The sequence below is a fragment of the Homo sapiens genome, chromosome 1 (assembly GCF_000001405.40).
Source record: "Homo sapiens chromosome 1, GRCh38.p14 Primary Assembly".
In the NCBI taxonomy this organism is placed as follows: domain Eukaryota; kingdom Metazoa; phylum Chordata; class Mammalia; order Primates; family Hominidae; genus Homo; species Homo sapiens.
The window spans coordinates 60,922,539-60,941,805 of NC_000001.11; the positions used below are offsets into that span (position 1 = coordinate 60,922,539).

A 19,267-nucleotide genomic window follows, 5' to 3' on the forward strand; every position below is an offset into this window, starting at 1 on the left:
AAGTACATTGCCTTGTAAGGCCCAGCTTGAGCAATCACGGTCCCCCACCCCCCGGAAGATACTCATTTCTTCTAGATACAATGGGAAGCAAACCAAAGACTTGCATAACTCAATGAACACAGGGGCTGAGAAAACCCACTGCCTCAGATGTTGGCAATGCTGGGGCAATCAGACAATGAAAGAACGACCTTGATTCAGTCAATGGTCACGCAGGCAGAAATTCAGGGGTGTTCAACAGGGCCTGGAGCCACTGTCTTTGGTGGTAGGAACCTGGCACCTAAGCCAGAGTACCAGAAGGCTCAAGTTGTAGAGGGGGACAAGTAAGCCTTAAGCAGGAGTCTGAGCAAGGCTCCTTTTGGGGGCAAGAAACTCTGGATAGGGTAAGGAACTTGGGACAATAGTTATCATATCCTAATACTGTCTTCCATTTACAGAGCACTGACTCTGTTCTAAGCAATGACCTTAGTGTCTTTATAACATTATCTAATTTAACCTTTCAACAACCCTATGATCCAACTACCACAGCCTTCCAATTTACAGTAAGGAAACCACCCTGGATACGATACTGAAATTGTCAATATATTAGCATGAATGAAATGCAATTACCAACATGTGGGTGTTGCTTACCTACACACACAAAAATGACAATTTCATGTGATTCAACCCCATAGTTCCTGTCTCCATGAGAGCTGGCCAGGAACACAGATAGAATTAAATATGCTGGTGGGAGGGAACAGAGAAGACAGAAGTGAAATAGAGGAGGGGTCAATCTGTCACACTAGCTAGACTTGCAGGAGTGATGGCCGCAGGGTGGACAGGTCCCAGGAGCACTATTGTCAAGCCCCTGCAAGAAACTGTGGGGTTTCTGGCTAGGAGATCTGAGCCCACAGACAAAGCCAGGTGTTGTTTCCCAGTCAGGTCACAAGTCTCAGGCAGTCTTATGCTGAGCTGTCCCTTTTCCCAACACCCAGAAGCCCAAATAGCCATGCATGTCTCTCTGTCGTCCCATGTAGGGCCTCTTTCTGTAAACAGAAATCAGATCACATGTTGCCTGAAGTCAGATATGACCAGAATCGGTGCACTGTGCAAGATTTCACCAATGATGAAAATAACTTTCTCCTGCTGCATTTAACATCTGGTGTCACAGATTTTTGCTGAGAGCCATAAAATCACTAACTTGCAGAGAAAACCTCATTGTTGAAAAATACATTTATGGGGGTGTGGGGGGATGGCAGCCGGAGCCTGGCTGTGTTCTGGGCCTGCCCAGTGGATGATGAATTTCATGAGGCCTTGGTAGGAATCTGGGGCAATAGAAAGACAGACCCAGGCTAGCAACTCTGCCACTGACTAGCTGAGGGACCTTGCACTGGTTTCTTCACCTCCCGGAACTTCTATTTCCTTATCTACTTAAAAAAAAAAAAACAGCAGGATAAAAATAGCCACGTGCCAGGGTTACTGTGTGGATTCAATGAAATAACATATGTGGCAGTGCCTGGCACAAGAGTAAATGCTAGCATTTTCCTTTCTTTTCCTTTTCCTTTTTTGTTCCCTGACATTTCCTTTCAGACCCAAGTCTGCCTGAACACTGTGGCATTTGTGGAAGACGTATACATGCAACACTCCTGCAAAGCTTGGCCCAAGTCGCAGTTCACTGGGACCCCTGTGCTCTACCTTAGGGAGAAGCGCTGATGTTTTAGTCTGTCTTTCCCAGTGAAATGGACAGTCTTGGGGGAAAGAGGCTGAGCCAGTTCACCACTGCCTGGCACACACAGTAGATGCTTAGGCATTTCCTAAATACTGGAGTGATCTGTATGACATCATCAAGAAGTAGCAGGAAGGGAGGAGGTGGTGCACCTGTGTGCTCTGCCAACCAGCACCCAGCAAGCTCCTGGCTTGTCTATGTTGTGTTAGGCCTGGAAGTCTAGGAAGTTAGTGACAAGAGGAGGTGAGCCTCAAGGGCCTCTTAGCTTACCTGGCAAGCAGGGGCTGGGACCAAGGAATCACGCTTTGTAGCCTTCATCATAGACGAAGGCGCCAGGTTGGGTTGCCTGGCGGGCCACTGGCCACATTGAAGACAATGTGTTCTACTTGTCATTCCCATGGCTGCCTTCAAAATTCACATTAAATCCAGTTTCCCTCGTGTCTAATTGCTGCCATGGGGTGGTGTGTTGAGGGATCCGCAGGATGTAATTGACCCTGTTCCTGTTCTTCCCCACAGCATGGCCTTGACCGTTGAACCCACTCCAATTATTGTAGACCTTTGCCAAGAGCACACTCAATCTCCCACATCTTTCTCTCAGCCTCTCCCACTCTCCACCCTTTCTGTACCTCCTATGGATGTCTGTCTCTGTGTGTGTGCTGCCTCTCACCCTCTGTGTCCCGTCCTCTCTCTCTCTGCCCTTCCCTCTCTCTCTGTTCCCTTGCCCCTCTCTCCATCTACCTGTGTCCCTGCATGTGGCTGTCTCTCTCTGTTCCTCAGCCTCCCTCAGTTGGTCTCTGCATCCTTCCCTCCTGCCCCCTCCCAGACTCGCCCTACCTGAGCCACCGCCCCCCCACCCCGCCTCACCCAGCTGCCTGAGGTCCTGCACCTCCCAATCACTCTCCTCATATTTTTAACTCTCACTTATTATCTCTGCATCGCCATTTTTTTGGCTGCGGGCCACAGCAAACAGAATGTGAGAAAGCAAAAACTAATGAGCTTCTTCAAGAGAGGATAGGGAGCTTCTGTTATCTCATTTAGTCCTCGGAGTTTAACTCCTGGCACTTCCGTCACATCTCCAAATGGTAAGTGAAGGTTGTTACTTTTCAATTTGGTTGGGCTGTGTAGCACATTTCATCAATTAAAATACACCCTCGGTGCAGAATCACAACAGGGCCGGCAGGAAGGGTGCTAGTGTGTGAGGATCTTTTTTTTTTTTTTCAAAGTTACTTTCATTCCATGTTCCATGGAGTGGAGAGCTGTTAGGAGGCAGCTGCGTGCTGAAAACACCACCACCGTTGGTGGAATGAATGCAGCACTGTGCATGCAATCCACTGCTGTGCAGCACCCTGATGGCTGAAGACCCTGCCAGACCTGCTGCGCCTGGCCGGGAGGTGGAGCCCAGGTCTCTGGATTTAGCCCTGAGGCTAAATTGACCTCCTAACCTACAGAGTGACCTGGGCAGGTCACTCAAGCTGTCTGTGTCCTGTTTCTGTCTCACCCGTTCCTCTCCTATAGGCTGTAGGAGGAATTCTGTAACTGGAAAGATCTTTAGGAGGGGAAATGAATGAATGGCATAATAAACTTCACCAACCACCCTGATATTCATTCATTCAACAGATACGTGTAGAACACTCACTGCATGCCAGTTACTATGCTAGCCTCGATTCTTAGAAATTTTGGGTCTAGAAACCCCAGTCTTTCCCTCCACCCTTCCCTGCCAGAAGGAGGGTGGAATTCATTTTTGTTACCATGAAAGCAAACTCCCTCAGCCTTCTACTTTTTCTACCTATGAAAATTGCTTAAGGGAGAACTAGTGACGCACCTTTTAAAGAATTATTGTTGTTTCCTGATTATAAAAGTCATTCATTTATTATAATAAATGTTTAATGCACATCAAAAGAAAGCACAAAATATAAATCAGTCACAATCCTACCTCCCAAAGATAACCACTGTTTTCAAAGACACATTACTTTTTACAGCAATGGAAACCAACAAGCCTACTAACAGAAGGCTAAGCCCCCAAGAGAAAAGAAATTTAATTATTTGACACAATTATTGAGTACCTACCTCACATGAAGGACTCCCTTGGAGTTACAAAAGTTAGTAAGATCTTGCCTTTCCAGGGCTTGGGAAACACTGAATTATTGGTCATTTTTACCCAGATGTCTTCAACCCTGGCCTAATGTCTCTAAACCAGAAATATAACTTGAGAATTGGCTCCATGTCCAATTTCAGTGAGAATGTTTTATCCATTCTAAAGTTTCTTCCTCATTTTTTTCTTCCCACTATTAGAATTTCTCTGTTACTACCGTTCACCCCCTTTCCACTTGATTCTTTCTCCAGTGCTTTACTTTCAGAAATGGTGAACACTGAGCAGCCTTGTGCAATGCCTAAGTGATTAGCAGTAACATCTTAGCAGATACGGATGATAGAACAAAGCCAGGTAGAAGATGAGCTGCATCACACTTTTGCAAGGCCCCTGCAGCTGGTGCCTCCCTATAGGCCAGGATTCGCTGTTCATAAATGCTCTCAACTGGACAACACTATGCAGAACATCCTAGTTCTATCGCCAACGTGTGCTGCTCAAAACTCTAGTCCCTTGCAATACTGCAAGAGAGGGAAGGTAGTAGTCAAATATGTTTGGAAAGTGCCTCTAGACACATCCAGTCACAAAGCACATCAACACATCAAAGGATCCAAGAAACCTGGTTAGCACAGTTTAACACAGCAATTCCCAAATGTCTGACCATTGATGTTAGAAACGCTCAGGAACATCCTAGGAAAGTCATTTGGGAAAATAAATTAGTTGTTCTTATTGTATAAGTTATTCATACTCATGTTATGTTAATATTATAAAGAGAAACATTGGCTTCGGTGTTATTAACAACATCCTTCTCTACTCTTACCACTGCCAAAGTCATAATTATTTCACACAAGGTCATCACTGGTCTGGCCCCTGCCGAGTTCATTAGCCTCACCTCCTACCCATCCAGTACCTGAACCTTCCCAAACTGCTTGAAATGCCCCCAAACTCAATGTGTGCCTTGTCTTGCTGTTTCACTGAAATGTTCATCTAACTTATCTATGCAGCCAACTCCTACTCATCTTCTAAGGCTCAAGTTTTCTCCTCTGTGGAGCCACCCCCAAATCACCCCCAGGAGTAGGATACCCCTCCTTGCTCTTCCCTGGCATTTTGTATTGGGTAGTACATTGAGTGATGCACAGAAGTTTTCAAAGAAAGAGATGAAAATGAACCAGGATCCAGAGATTAAACAAACCCCAATTAAAGGGAACACATGAAGAAAATGCTTGAAATAGGGAAAATGTAGGCAGAGAAGCAGCTGGCATTTCGAAGCATTAGTTGTAAGTGACATCCTGATTTCAACAGCATTGGCAATATCCAGACATGCAGGTGGTCTGGGATGGGGGAAGGGGGTGCAAAGAACCAGTTCCCAGGAAACTGGACTTCAGATACAACAGGAGGTCAGAATAGAATAAACTCCAGGCAAATTAAGCAAACCAGGATGCAAATCTGAGTCACTGGGTACTAATCATTAAATAGAGGCAGGACTGACTCCATGTTCTAGGGCAAGGCTGAGCCCACAGGTGCGGAGTAAGTGGCTGCACCTGGAGAATTAAAGGACTGCAGGACAGGAAGCCAAGCAATCATTACAGCTTCCAGGTGCTTCTCTCCACATGGCCTTGCTAAGGTTTGCCTCTGCCTTTATTATATAACCTCAGACTCCCCCACACTATGCATTTCTACATTCAGAACCCCAGTCTGGAAACTTGGCTTCAACCTAGTTCGAAAATCATTTGTGCCCTAGAGTTTAAAATTCAGGATTAGATTCATGGAGTTGTAATGCAAAGACCTGTTCACCACAACATGTTTAAACCCATGTTGGGAGCCTCAATAATTTGCTCGTAAAATAAAGGTCATCCATCCAAATGGTTTTGGATAAAATAAAGGTGGATAGTAAATATGAATGGGAGTCTTTCAAGAAAAAAAATGTTCATTTTCTTTCAATGCCTGAAGACACAACCTCCCAAACATCTCTTCTAAACCAATCTGGCCTAGGCAAGGTATTTCATGCCTGTAATCCCAGCACTTTGGGAGGCTGAGGCAGGAAGATTGCTTGAGGCCAGGGGTTTGAGACCAGCATGGGCAACATAGCCGGACCCCATCTCTATTTAAAAAATAAATAAATAAATAAATAAAAACGAAACTAATCTGAATAGTTAAGGGGAAAACATAACAGATTCAGGTCAAGTTAAGAGGATTTGAAACATAGGTTATATTATTCAATCACCACCAAAACGGGGAGAAATGAATTCTAATTAAATCCTGAAGTCCTCAACCCATATCTAGGTCACAAACTGTGAAGTAAGAAGCTATACACATTTGGTTAGGATGATCCTGTTGGCAGTGCAGGTAACTAGCAAGAAACTCCAATAAAATAAGAAGAGTCCAAAAAGGTCTAAAGTTTCACATTTTTCAGTGGAAAGTCTAAGGAATAGGAGAGGATTTCCTGTACTTTTTCACTTTATCAGTTTGGGCTCTAAAGAACAATGAGAGAAAGAGATAGAAGTGATGAAAGGGTGGGTGGGTAGGTGGATGAATGGATGGGTGAACAGAGAGATGGTTGAATGGGTGGATGGATAACATTTTTAAAATGTAGATAAAGTGGATAAGGCTCTAACTCAGGTGCTTGCTTGGTGCTTTCCCCAGAAGGCCACATCTACTTTTCCTAGTGCTTCTGCAAATGGTCACTGCAAATTCCATATGCAACTCAAATGTCAGTTGGCATCGCTTCTGTTCTTTAAAGTTCTGACAAAATTGCTGAGATGCTGCCCCCACTCCCACTCCACATTAAATCTAATATTCTTCCCCAAGATTTCTGTGGATTACAGGATTTATACATTCTTGATCTCTTAATACTCAGATTTTTTGTTCCTACTAAATCTAGTTAACATTATTGCTTTTCCTTCTGGTATCTGTCCTCTTCTTTCTTTCTTTCTTTCTTTTTTTTTTTTTTTTTTTTTTTTTTTGAGTCAGAGTCTCGCTCTTTTACCCAGGCTGGAGTGCAGTGGTGTGATTTCAGCTCACTGCAAGCTCCGCTTCCCAGGTTCACACCATTCTCCTGCCTCAGCCTCCCGAGTAGCTGGGACTACAGGCACCCGCCACCACTCCCGGCTAATTTTTTTGTATTTTTAGTAGAGATGGGGTTTCACTGTGTTAGCCAGGATAGTCTCGATCTCCTGACCTCGTGATCCACCTGCCTTGGCCTCCCAAAGTGCTGGGATTACAGGTGTGAGCCACTGGGCCCGGCCCTGTCCTCTTCTTTCTATTCCATGCGGATTCCAACACAAAATTCCACTTTTCCCCTGGATTTACCCCAAATATCACTACTGAAAAGTTTACTGAGACTATAGGAGAATAGGGAAGGGGGACTACAAAACGGAATAGCACAGCATACAACCTGAGTCACTGTTAAGCAATTAGACATTCCTCTTCTTAAAATCTCTGCACCATACCTACCACTTGGAACTTCTCACTTGCTTACCTTCTCCTCAGAATCCCTGGTGTTCTGCTGCTCTTTGTCACTCTCTCTCTCTCTCCCCCTCTCTCCCTCTTCCTCCTACCTCTAGTTTTTTCCGTCTTGCTCTCAACTCCCCAAATTCCCAGCTACTTTGTATCTGTTTGGATCTCTCTTCATCCCTTCCCCGCAGCTATTCCTGGCTGTGCCACAGAGCCTCTTTTTTTTTTTTTTTTTTTTTTTTTTTTTTTTAAGACAGAGTCTTGCTCTTGTCGCCCAGGCTGGAGTGCAGTGGCGAGATCTTGGCTCACTGCAACCTCCATCTCCCAAGTTCAAGTGATTCTCCTGCTTCAGCCTCCTGAGTAGCTAAGATTACAGGCGCCCAGTTAATCTTTGTACTTTTAGTAGAGATGGGGTTTTGCCATGCTGGCCAGGCTGGTCTTGAACTCCTGAGGTGATCCACCAGCCACGGCTTCCCAAAGTGCTGGGATTATAGGCTTGAGCCACCATGCCCAGCAGCTACAGAGCCTCTTTATGATCAGACACACCCTTGCAGGTGTGTTTGGAGACAAAGGTTTTTCTCTTTGACAGGGATTCTGCCTTTTGCCTCAGAGTAGCAATTTTTCTCTCCCTCCCCCCACCACTCCACCTCCTATTCCATCACTAATCCTTAGACACACCGCAGCCTTCATTAACTCTCTTCTGAATTCAGGGCTGAATGTCTGTGCTCCTGATGTCAATCTGAAACCCTGACCCAGTCCAGCTTCATCCTGGCTTCTTTCTCAAAGTTGTTGACTAAAATCCATTCAGCATTTGGGGTTTCTTAAAAAGGAATCATCTTGGAGTAAAACGATTGTTACCAGAGGCTGGAAAGGGTAATGGGGGATGCGCAGGGGAAGTGGGGATGGTTAATGGATACAAAAAAAAAAATAGATATAATGAATAAGGCCTAGTATTTGATAGCACAAAAGGGCACCTATAGTCAATAATAACTTAACTCTACATTTTAAAATCACTAAAAGTATATAATTGGATTGTTTGCAACACAAAGGATAAATGTTTGAGGTGATGGATACATCCATTTACCCCGATGTGATTGTTATGTATTGTATGCCTGTATCAAAATATCTCATGTACCCCATAAATATACTGTGTACCCACAAAAATTTAAAATTTTTAATTTTTTAAAAAAAAGGAATTATCTTGAAACATAAAGAGTACACAGGACCAAGTGATGCCAGAGCTATGACTTTAGTTAATGTCACAGCAACCCTGTTAGATGGACAGATGAAGAAACTGAGGCTCAGAGAGATTAAATAATTATTTCAAGGTTGCACAATTTTCTCCCTCCAATTTATTTTCATTCTTGAAACTAGAGTGATTTTTTGTTTCTGTGGCCACTTCTTTTTCTAAGAGAGACATGTGATCATGCCGCTTCATTGCTTAAATTCTTCAATGGCTCCCTGCTGTCCTCAGGGCAAAGTTTATACTTCTTAGCCTGGTACGCAAGGCCATTCATGATCATTTACACATACAGCAAGGTCATTCATAATCACTTACACACACACACACACATGCACACACATGTTTACCTCTCAGGCCTATCTTTCTTTGAACCACCCGCTCCTTGCTTCCTCCTCTGTGGACTCTAGGTTCTAGGCTTGCTGAATTATATATTGTTCCCTAATCACGCCTCCAGTTCTCTGTACATGGTGTTCTCTCTGCCTCTCATTCTCTCTCCACTAGAAAGAAAGCTCCTTAAGTGTAGCGACTTTATTTTGCTCATCACCGCTGTAAACTTCACAGCTAGAATACTGCCCAGCACACAGTATTTCCTCATGTCACCTAAATTACTCTCGCAGACTTTTCCTCCAGGCCGCATCTCAGATGTCACTTCCTCCCAGAAGTCCTCCTGACATCACAATCAGGTTTTAATTCTCTTTTTCTGGTCCCTTAGATCATATCATGCTTACATCTATCATAGCATTGATAAGACTCTATTTTCTCTCAACTCACCTGACGCCTTAGTCAGAAAACATGAGAGCATGACTATGTCTTGTACATCATTGTAATATTCACAGTACCAAATACAGGCACATGGGGTGAGAGTAGTAGGGGGACACTCATCTCTGGAACCAGCATATAAAGCCACCACAAAGATGCTACTCTTGACAATTTCAGAACCTAAGCCAGGCACTATGGCATGTGCCTGTAGTCCCAGCTATTTGGGAGGCTAGGGCAGGAGGATTGCTTGAGCCTAGGAGTTCAAGACCAGCCTGGGCAACAAAGCAAGACCCCATTTCAAAACAAAAATAGAAAAATTCTAGGGCAACATGGGCCAAGTGGGTGGAGAGAGAGACAGAACAGATACAATACCTTAGCAATGGATACCATTTACCCTTGCTATGCTACTGTCCAAAGAAGATATCTGGCATATAATCAGCATAAAATATGGATGAAAGAATGACTGAATGAATGAAGCAAGTGTCAGAGCTGGTGTGTCCACTCACAAACAGCTTTTCTAGTTTGATGCTATTCAGCAACCCCCTCCTCCTGTAGTATTATAACCAACATGGTGGAATTAGAAAAGTGACATCCAAGACATTAGGGATCAGGAATAACAGCGTCAGTGCATGTCAGTTATGGACAATTTCCAGTTAGCTGTACTCCACCAGTTTCTGACCCCACTAACAATTCTGCTTCCGGATAAACTGTAAGACATGTTTCAGGAGGCCATAAGAGAGCTCATCCTTTCTGCATTCCCACCAATAGAGTCTTCTCCAAACTCTGATCAGTTGCCTTCTCTTCAAAGCCTGCCTCACACACTAGTGTCACCTGGAAAGAATGTCCTACGAGCCCTGCCTAAAAGAAAAACTCCTTGGCCGGGCATGGTGGCTCACTCCTGTAATCCTAGCACTTTGGGAGGCTGAGGCGGGCAGATCACAAGGTCAGGAGATCGAGACCATCCTGGCTAACACAGTGAAACCCCGTCTCTAGTAAAAATACAAAAAAAAAAAAATTAGCCGGGTGTGGTGGCGGGCGCCTGTAGTCCCACTTACTTGGGAGGCTGAGGCAGGAGAATGGCGTGAACCCGGGAGATGGAGCTCACAGTGAGCCGAGATTGCACCACTGCACTCCAGCGTGGGTGACAGAGCGAGACCCCATCTCAAAAAAAAAAACAAAAAAAAGGAAAGAAAAACTCCTTTTACTCCACCTTGAGTATGTGTCAATTGTGAGCACTCTTGTGGCTATTTGCCTGGGCCACCTTGTCATGTTGTTTACTATAAAATACATATGTTCTGTTGACATGTAGGCTGAAAATCCCATAACAGATGCTGGATGTATTCAGTGGGTGGCTGTGACTCCTCTAGGGACCACAGTGACCCACTGTGTGCATTCATTATCTCCACTTCCTAGCATATTATGTAACTTAGGACATGTTTGTTGGGAAACTCTCCTCTTCTCCTCCACCGCCCCCTACATTAAAATCAATCCTTTAGGGTTTAGAAATTCAATGTAATTCAACAATCAGTTGTTGGAATTATTCCTATGGGCCCAGACTGCACCAGGAGGTAGAAAGGACCCTATATTTCCTGCGGACTTCCTCCGTACCAGGCATGGGGCCACCATTCCATTTAATCCTCTCTTCAGTCTTGGAAGGTAGAAACTATCAACCCCACTTTACAGGAGAGAAAGTTCTAGTTTTCAGAAGTTAGAGTAGCCCTCCCAAGGATATGTCACTATTAGTCTGAGACATGATATTCAATGTCTGATTCCAAAGGCCACATCCTTTCTAATCACCTATTGACCATAGGATTCTATTTATCTTTTTGACAAAAAAAATTATTATTACAGAATTAAAATATGTAAATATATGCAAATTTGCTATATAATATATAACATATTATATAACTATATCTATTATAAAATTGAAATTATTATAAATTATTCCAGAAAGATCCTGTTGAAATGCACATATTATCTTGGGATACATGCAAAGAGGAAGCAAAGAAGGGAGGAAATGCAGTAGTATAAGTAACTTGGCAGAGAGTATGGCACAGAAACTCAAAATGGCTGAGTGCTGATGGGGTAAAGAATTGTGGGAAGGAAAAGGCATTGAATATTCATTAAGCTGCTATGATTTGTCAGAGGCTTTTCATATGTTTCCTCATTCAATCCTCATACAACTCCATGAGATTATTATCATGAGAAAACTGAGGCTCAGAGAACTCAGTAAATTGTGTAAGTTCATAAAGCAAGGAAGTAGTAGAGCTTGGATTTGAACCCAGGTCTTTCTGACTGCAGGGGTCCACTCTCCTTCCTTTGTCCCAGCCTACTTCTGAACAGGCCCCACGGGGGCCTTGAGCGTAAGTAACATAAAAATAGGAAATGAATGGAGGAGGAGTGTAGAAGTGAAATGGAATCAACAGAGGTACCATGAAGAGATTTTGCTTATTCCCAAGTTAGCCTGGGCCCCTGCCCAATATGGTACAAGAAATCCCTGGTTCTCAGCGCAGCCCTGCCGATAACTGAGTACAGGTCACCTAGGAAGTCATAACCTTTCCAGGGCTCAGAAAATTCCTCTCCTAGAAAATTAGTTTTTTGAACAAGGTGGTCTAAGACCCATGCAGCCATGAGGTCCTTAAAATCTAGAAAAAGTAAGCACAAAATAGAATATTTTCCACTTATTAATTACTGTCCAAGTTCCTTCCTGAAGAGCTAAGCATGTCCAGAGTGGACGTGTTGCCCAAAGGGTGCTTCTGTCACTGTGTTGTTTGTCTATCTGGGCCTGGAGGAGGTGATAAATATTGATTAAGGCATTGATATGGTGCTAAGGGAAAAATGTATTAGCACACTTGTACAATGCCCTAGAGGTGCAGTCTTCCTTGGTTCTCAAGGAAGAATTTTTTATTCAGTCAACAAACATTTACTGAGGCCCCCCAACACAGTGCTCCATGCCATCGATATAGGAGTAAACCAGCAGCCAACATAGGCATTAAACAAATAATTACACAAATAAGTAACAACGGTTGTGTTTTATTTGGGGTCACTTGGGGAGCTGTGGGAAGGCTTAGGCAGGGAAGTCACATTGTCAGATTTGTACAACTCTGGCTCCTACATGAATTAGAGATGCTGAGATAGGAGGCCATGAGAAAATCCATTGCAACAATCTGGGAGAGACGTGTTGAGGCTCTGAATTAAGCCAGGGTCAGTGGGGATGCTCACAGACCACATTCTTGAGAGATAGAGGAGTGAGCTAGATGGATATGTAATGTTCACGACACTCCTATGGCTGGCGTTGCTGGCAGGAGGGGGTGTATAATACTAATCACCATGCACTAGGCTTGCTTCGTTCACCCATCCAGGGAGGCAAGATGCCAAGAGGCACAGGTGTTCCCTGCCATCGAAGGAGGCCTCTGCCTCTCTTGATTGCATAAACAGGCCTCCCGCCTTCCTGCCTCCTTAGCATCCAGCATCACCCCAGGGAGCCCTGGCCTCCCATTCAGGGTGCTCTCAGCAGGGAGGCACAATGTCTGGCGGGATCTGAAAAAGGGTGAAGCCCCTTCATGGGCATCCTGGAAGGGCTGTGAGTCCATTCTGTGGGCCCAGCATCGCGTGATCTCCACACTCACTGCCATCTGTTTCCTATCAAGGCTGAACACAAGCTCGTGCGTGTGGTCACAATTGCACAGAAAAATCACTCGGCCAACAAATATGGAAATGTCAGCTTCATTCTCTCTCTCTTTCTCTCTCTCTTTCTCTTTCTCTGTCTCTCTCTCTCTCTCTCACACACACACACACACACACACACACACACACCCCTGACTTAAAAAATAGGCATTTAAAATATTGACCCTTTCTAAGATGTCCTCCCCCAACCCCAAGGAAAATATAATGGCATCAAATTCCCCTTGCAGTCCATACTTTATTTAAAGGGTGGATGGGGGAACCTCAATGCACATGTACAAGGGCCAAACCAAAATAGGAAATATGAGCAAAGTGGTTGCATCCTTTTGCAATCAACTATTATAAAAGCTGGCCATCTCCTGTTCTACAAGAAGACATGGGGTTTCCAACCAGCCAAGTTTTATTTTACATAATTGTAACCATCTCAGCATGTCAATTAAGATAGAATGTTACCTTTGGGATGGGATCAATTAGGGCCCTGAAGATTGAATTTGGAATCATGATTAGCCTGTTTTACATTTTGCCTTCATTTTCTAAAATATACAATTGTCTGATTCAGCCCAATTTTTAAAAACATATTGTAAACTTATTTATTTTTTTAAGCCAAAACAGACGTGGGAGGCCAGTTAGTAACAGAAACCATAGCAAAATGGAGGATGAGGAGGTGGGGTTTTCTATTTGATTAGAGTCGAATCTTAAATTTCCACAGCAAGAAAATATTGAATGTAGTGTAATGGTTGCTGGATTTTCTTAAGAACTGAAATCATTACACCCTGGCTGCGATCCAGGTTCTTCCCTTTTTTAGGTTACAATTTGAAACGGTGCAGAACATGCTATAGTATTGTAGTCATTTATGTAATGTCATTGAATCGAGCTTCTGGAAATAGACAAAGGACTTTGTGTCCTGAAATGGTCTTCTGGCAGAAAATTGATAGCAACATGAGATATGCTATTACTAGGTTTGCTTCTGCCTCCAAATTTGTGCTGACTAAAGTAATTGAGAGAAAGACAGAGAGGGAGAGAGAAAGAGAGAGAGGGAGGGAGGGAGAGAGAACAGGCAAGTGAACTTACAACTGTGTAGGGAAGCTAAATACTTAAAACAAATGCTGCATAGAGGGAAGGCACACATTTCCTAGCAGAAATGTGCAAGTTTTTCAGGGTCACTAAAATAATGTGAACCTCTTTGCTTGCTTTTCTGAAGTTGTTGTTTCCCAATTGGAGACAATGAATATGCAAATACATGACATGAACCCCCCACCACCCCGGTAATTCTCCCAAGCCCTCCCCTCCCATTCCAGCCCTCCAAAGTGTTTTGCCTTCATTGAAACCCCTTGTCTGGAGCTTTTGCCAGATTCATCAGAATGACAGGCGAGTCCAGCTTCACCAACCAAAGATGCAGCCTGAATGCAAATCAAACCCAGGCCTGGACACTCTAGCCAGGACACATGGTGTTAGGCACAAGCCCATGCCCTGCCCATTTTTGCCCCCCGCCTCCAGTGCCCTTCTGAGATTTGTCATCTTCATTGCAACAGTCACTTTCAGAAAGAAAAGTTAGAGCTGTTTGCGCATGAAGTGAGAGATATGTCAATAAGCCCCCTTTCCACATAAATAGCACATCAAAATATTACCAAATAATGCTGTTGACTTTGCCAACAGGCAGAGGACTCCATCTGGAGATAATATCTTCCAACTGAGAGGCATCCTAAGTGCCCTTTCCTAGGCAACAGGCAAAGTGACCATTCTGTGGCTAAATCCTGTCCTGTCTATGTGCAAGGGCAATCCTCTTCATCTTCCATTGTGCCCACACCACCTACACTGGATCCTGGAGTTGTCTGCTCCCATCCAAAATGAATTCATTGGTCCTCTTTCCTTTGTGATTACAACAGCACCGTCCACTTCTGACCACACTCACTATATCGAAGTATCCTCCAGAGATGTCCAAAATAGCCAATACCAGATTCTAACCAGGGACAGAGCTGGCTGGCTTCACCAATAATCTCCATTCATCTGCTCCTATCAACACAGAGACAACAGAAAAACTTGCTGTTGGGTCAGCTCTGCATGGTGTCAGGAGTGACACCTGAACAAAGTCTTCCCTGCTTCCGCTAGCACATGGGTCTCTCCTGTCTGCGAACTCCAATGTAATTAGAGTCTGAGCCACATAGATATGCTTTCTATTGTTCTCCTCAGTTATTCAAGAAATTCTTGCTGAGCATTTATTACATGCAAAGAACAGGAAGGCAACAAAGGTGAACCAAATATCAGTAGAGGTCCCCCAGCTCTTCCTAATCAGTGTGAATCCCCACTTATTCCACTGACATTTTAAGATTTCTGAGGATTCTTGGAGGGGCTTGTGTTCTTACGGTCATCCAGGTCTACAAGGTCCTTTCTCAGTGCCATCTCTGCCTTGGCCCATGTCCACCTGTCCATGAGAGAGGTCATTTCTATTTATATAAAAGCTCTTGCAAAGCATTTGTGAGTTCAGGAGATTTTTGGCAGATGTCACTGCGATATGGAGAGACGAGGAGGGAGTAATGACACAGTAACACAACATCATGTTAAGCACGAAATGTAAAATATGGCACCATCTTAAAAGCAGAAGATTGCAAGTGAAACTTCACTCAGACCTCCCTTAGCTCACGTCTTTCCTTCCCACCAGCTCAGCCTCACCCCACATAATTCTCTACCCCTTTGTACTCTTCTCTTCTCTTCCCTCTCAAGAGAAAAAAGAAATCTCATATTCTCAGATGCAACTGTTTAAACCATTCTCTTTTTTGGAAGGGAGGAGGGAGAGGAGTGATAATGATTTCTGAAGGCTGGGTTTAAAACACTCATACCCTCAGATCTCAGATACCTTTAATGAGTCATCAAGGGTTTTTTCCCTCAAACAAAGACAATTTCCTCCCCTTACACACACACACACACACACACACACACACACACACAAAATATTGTTGGTGCCAACTGTTAAAATAACAAATAATTCTGCCTTATTACACACAAAGGGATATGATGCCATTCTATTTAGTATTCCCTGCCATTTTCTGATCATCTTCTATGTCCTAGGAAATGTCCCAGGCCCTCCAAGCATGCAAATTCACTTAATCCTTGCCACAATTTACTGTGGTAAAGAAACTGAAGATGGGAGCAGTTACATTGTCCGGGGCCACCTAGAGCATTCTGATCCTAAAACTGTTATCTTAAGCAATAAATTACTCTGCCTCCCATAATTCAGAAGGCTGAATTATTTGCAAGGTACTATGAGAGGTATAAAGAGCAAAAGGCAGGGGCCCAGGTCACTTAACATAGTAAGCCATTGGAAACAAGGAATTACGACTTCAGAGAAAGACCTGAGTTTGAGTCCCAGCTGTGCTAGGGATTTGTTGCATGACATCAAGTAAGTCACTCCACCACTCTGAGCCTCAGGTTCCTCATATATAAAATGAAAATGCTAACAGTGCATACCCCATTAGGTTATCTTGGGGACTCAAGGAGATAAGGCATGGGAAGCACTCAATACAGTGCTTGGCATGTGATGAGCCCTGAATAAATGTTACCTTTCATTAGTATATTGAACATGATTTTATAGCTTACCTTGTGGATTTGGCATTTTATGATGCTTCTTTCTGCTGCTGAATACACTTTGTAAAAATCATTGAGATAGTTAACGTCTTGCTTCATTTATCTATTGGAGAATAGTGTTGTTTGTCCTATCAATATGTATAAAGTCATCCTATAGTATTACTAAATCTTTGTTTATATTTGCTCTAAGTGTTTCCCCAGATGTTTGTCTGCCCTTTAATTTTGCTTAACATACTTTCTGACATGCAGTTAATTTTTATGAAGTCGAACCTATCTAAATTTTACTTTGTGATTCCTTCCATTAATTTTAAGGATTTAAAAAATTCCTTTCTACACAGAGATTAGAGAGATATTTATCAACATTTTTTTCTAGGATAAAGATACATTTTAAAATGTAAAGTGATTCACAAAATAAATAGATTCTGAAATGTGATGTTGGTGGTTTCTTCTATTCATGAGCAACCTCCGTATCTCATGACTTGTATACCTTGGCATAGTGTTAATAATGATGATCACATAATCCTGTTTGGGGGATTAAATAAGAATCAGATTTAAGTCACTCATCCTGAGAGTTCTTTCATGAGTTAGCCCACTGTCCCCTTCTCAAGTAGAGAGATTTCTAGAACCTAAGAAGTCACACAGATCTCTAAGAATGCATTCATGAATGTGAAAGATCTGCTTAGTATGGCCCTGGCCCTCAAGGGGCTCTCTTTGTTTTCCCCATAATTCCTGTGATACAGAGAAAAGACTTTGGTATGAGGCTGATCCAGGTTAGGAGTTCAGCCCTACCCTCGACAGTATGATTCCCTAAATTCATACATGAGAAATCCCCTGAGGCTCTGTTTCCTCATTTAGAAAATGGAAGAAAATAACAGACCTGATTTCATACGTAGATCTACTGTGAAGATTAAGGTAATGCATGTAAATCTCTTAGCACACCTGACGAATAACAAATGACCAACAAATATTAGCTAGTTTTCCGTTTTCTCCACCAGAAGATGACCATGGTTGTCCCTAAAGGCCCTGATGCCCAGCATAGACTCTGGAGTAAAACTCCTCTTACTATAGCAGGAGGCGTAAACCTCAGGATAATTCTAGCCTGATGAGACTGATATGGTAATAACTGGGAGATACTGGATCCAAAGTACAGTGTATTCATTTCCCAGGAATGCCATAACAAATTACCACAAACTAGATGGCTTCAAAAACAAAATTTTATTCTCTCACAATGTGGGAGGCCAAAAGTCTGAAATCAAGGCACGGGCAGGTTTGGTCTTTCTGGAGGGTCTGAAGGAGACAGTCCTATGCCTCTCTCCTAGCTTTCAGTGGCTGCGGGTAGTTCTTGGTGCTCTCCAACTGGTATCAACAGTCTTGGCTTCCATCTTCACACCACCTTCTCCTCTGTGTGTATCTTCCCTTCCTATGAGGACACTTGTCATTGGATTTAGGGCCCACCCAGATATTCCAAGATGATCTCATCTCAAGATCCTTAACTTAATTACACTGCAAAGTTGCTTGCTAAAAACAAAGTCATATTTGTTACCAGTGGAGGGTATCCAGGTTCTTGGCATCTTGAACAAAGAACTGGACAAAACACACAAAGCAAGGAAAGAATGATGCAAAAAAAGCAGAGATCTATTGAAAATGAAAATACAGTCCACAGGGTGGGAGCAGGCCCAAGCATAGGGGCTCAAACCCCCGTTTACAGAATTTTCTGGGGTTTAAATACCATCTAGAGGTTTCCACTGGTTACTTGGTGTATGCCCTATGTAAATGAAGAGGATGAAGTAAAGTTACAAAGTCATTTACTCAGTGTAATCCCTATGTAAATAGAGAGGATTTTTCTTGTCATAGCTGAAGTGTTTCCATTTGATTTAGTTCTAGGAAGTCAGCATGAATTGGCCTTATATTCCCAGCCTCCAGACCCTATTCTCCTGCCTCACATTCACAGATTCAAGGTGAACACATTCTCAGGGTCCAAATGGACACGTATTTTGTTGGGGGTAGGAAGATGGGGGATGGAGGGAGTGCAGGGGGTCGGGACAGGGGCAGCCATTCAACCCACCATACATAATTTCCTACCATGTAGTGAAAGAGACCAGATACAGAGAGGTAATGATAATCAGCAGTACCTTGGGCAGTATTTTTGAAGAGTAAGGTGATCATTATCTGGGTTGCAGCATTTTTATCATCTCCTTTAAACATCTAAAACAACAGAAAACGCAGATATTGAAATTCGTGAAACCCAGAGGGGTAAAAATGATTGCCTGTGTACTATATCAAAAGATCAAAAAGTACATCTTTGGAGGAATTCATGGTCACCGGCTGAAAATCCCAAAGATAAACAAGTCAGGAAATCCTCCCAGTTTGTTCTGAACAGGCATTCTCAGCTCAACAAGGATTTCTTGATTCTTCCTGCTGCTGGCACTTCTATTGATTGGGAAGGAAGATCCCAGGAGGGAAAGCATCAAGGTGATCTGAATAATATTCTTGAAAATGCCAATGCTTTGTAAATGCTAAAGATAAAACATGCCGACTATAGAGAGGAACAAGAGGTATCTTTTGTCAAATGAAAGAAACCGTTTGTGTTGTGCACACCACGTTTACATTTTTTTACATCCTCTTTCATGGACAGTGTTTTGTAAATTAGTTAAGGTAGTTATAACTGTGGTTCCTCAATTTCAAGACCCATTTTCCCTTTTCCAGGTCAACTTCACACACACTAACTTTAAGGGATTCCTCTTTATGGGAATTTTGT

The 19,267-nt window shown here is 43.2% G+C and overlaps 2 long non-coding RNA genes across 3 annotated transcripts in view; both read right to left on the bottom strand.

Annotated features, from left to right (window-relative positions):
• The window catches only part of LOC105378764 (uncharacterized), a 30,973-nt gene extending 28,931 nt beyond the window's left edge, over positions 1–2,042 (bottom strand). For both annotated transcript variants that reach the window (XR_947441.3, XR_947440.3), the window contains exon 1: positions 1,973–2,042. This is a non-coding gene — a long non-coding RNA (uncharacterized LOC105378764). The remainder of the gene's footprint in view (positions 1–1,972) is intronic.
• Positions 2,043–17,705: 15,663 nt separating this feature from the next.
• Positions 17,706–19,267, bottom strand: part of NFIA-AS2 (NFIA antisense RNA 2) — a 30,497-nt gene continuing 28,935 nt past the window's right edge. Inside the window, exons 6-7 of the long non-coding RNA NR_110617.2 lie at positions 18,642–18,714; positions 17,706–18,093 (exon numbers count right to left, since the gene is read on the bottom strand). This is a non-coding gene — a long non-coding RNA (NFIA antisense RNA 2). The remainder of the gene's footprint in view (positions 18,094–18,641; positions 18,715–19,267) is intronic.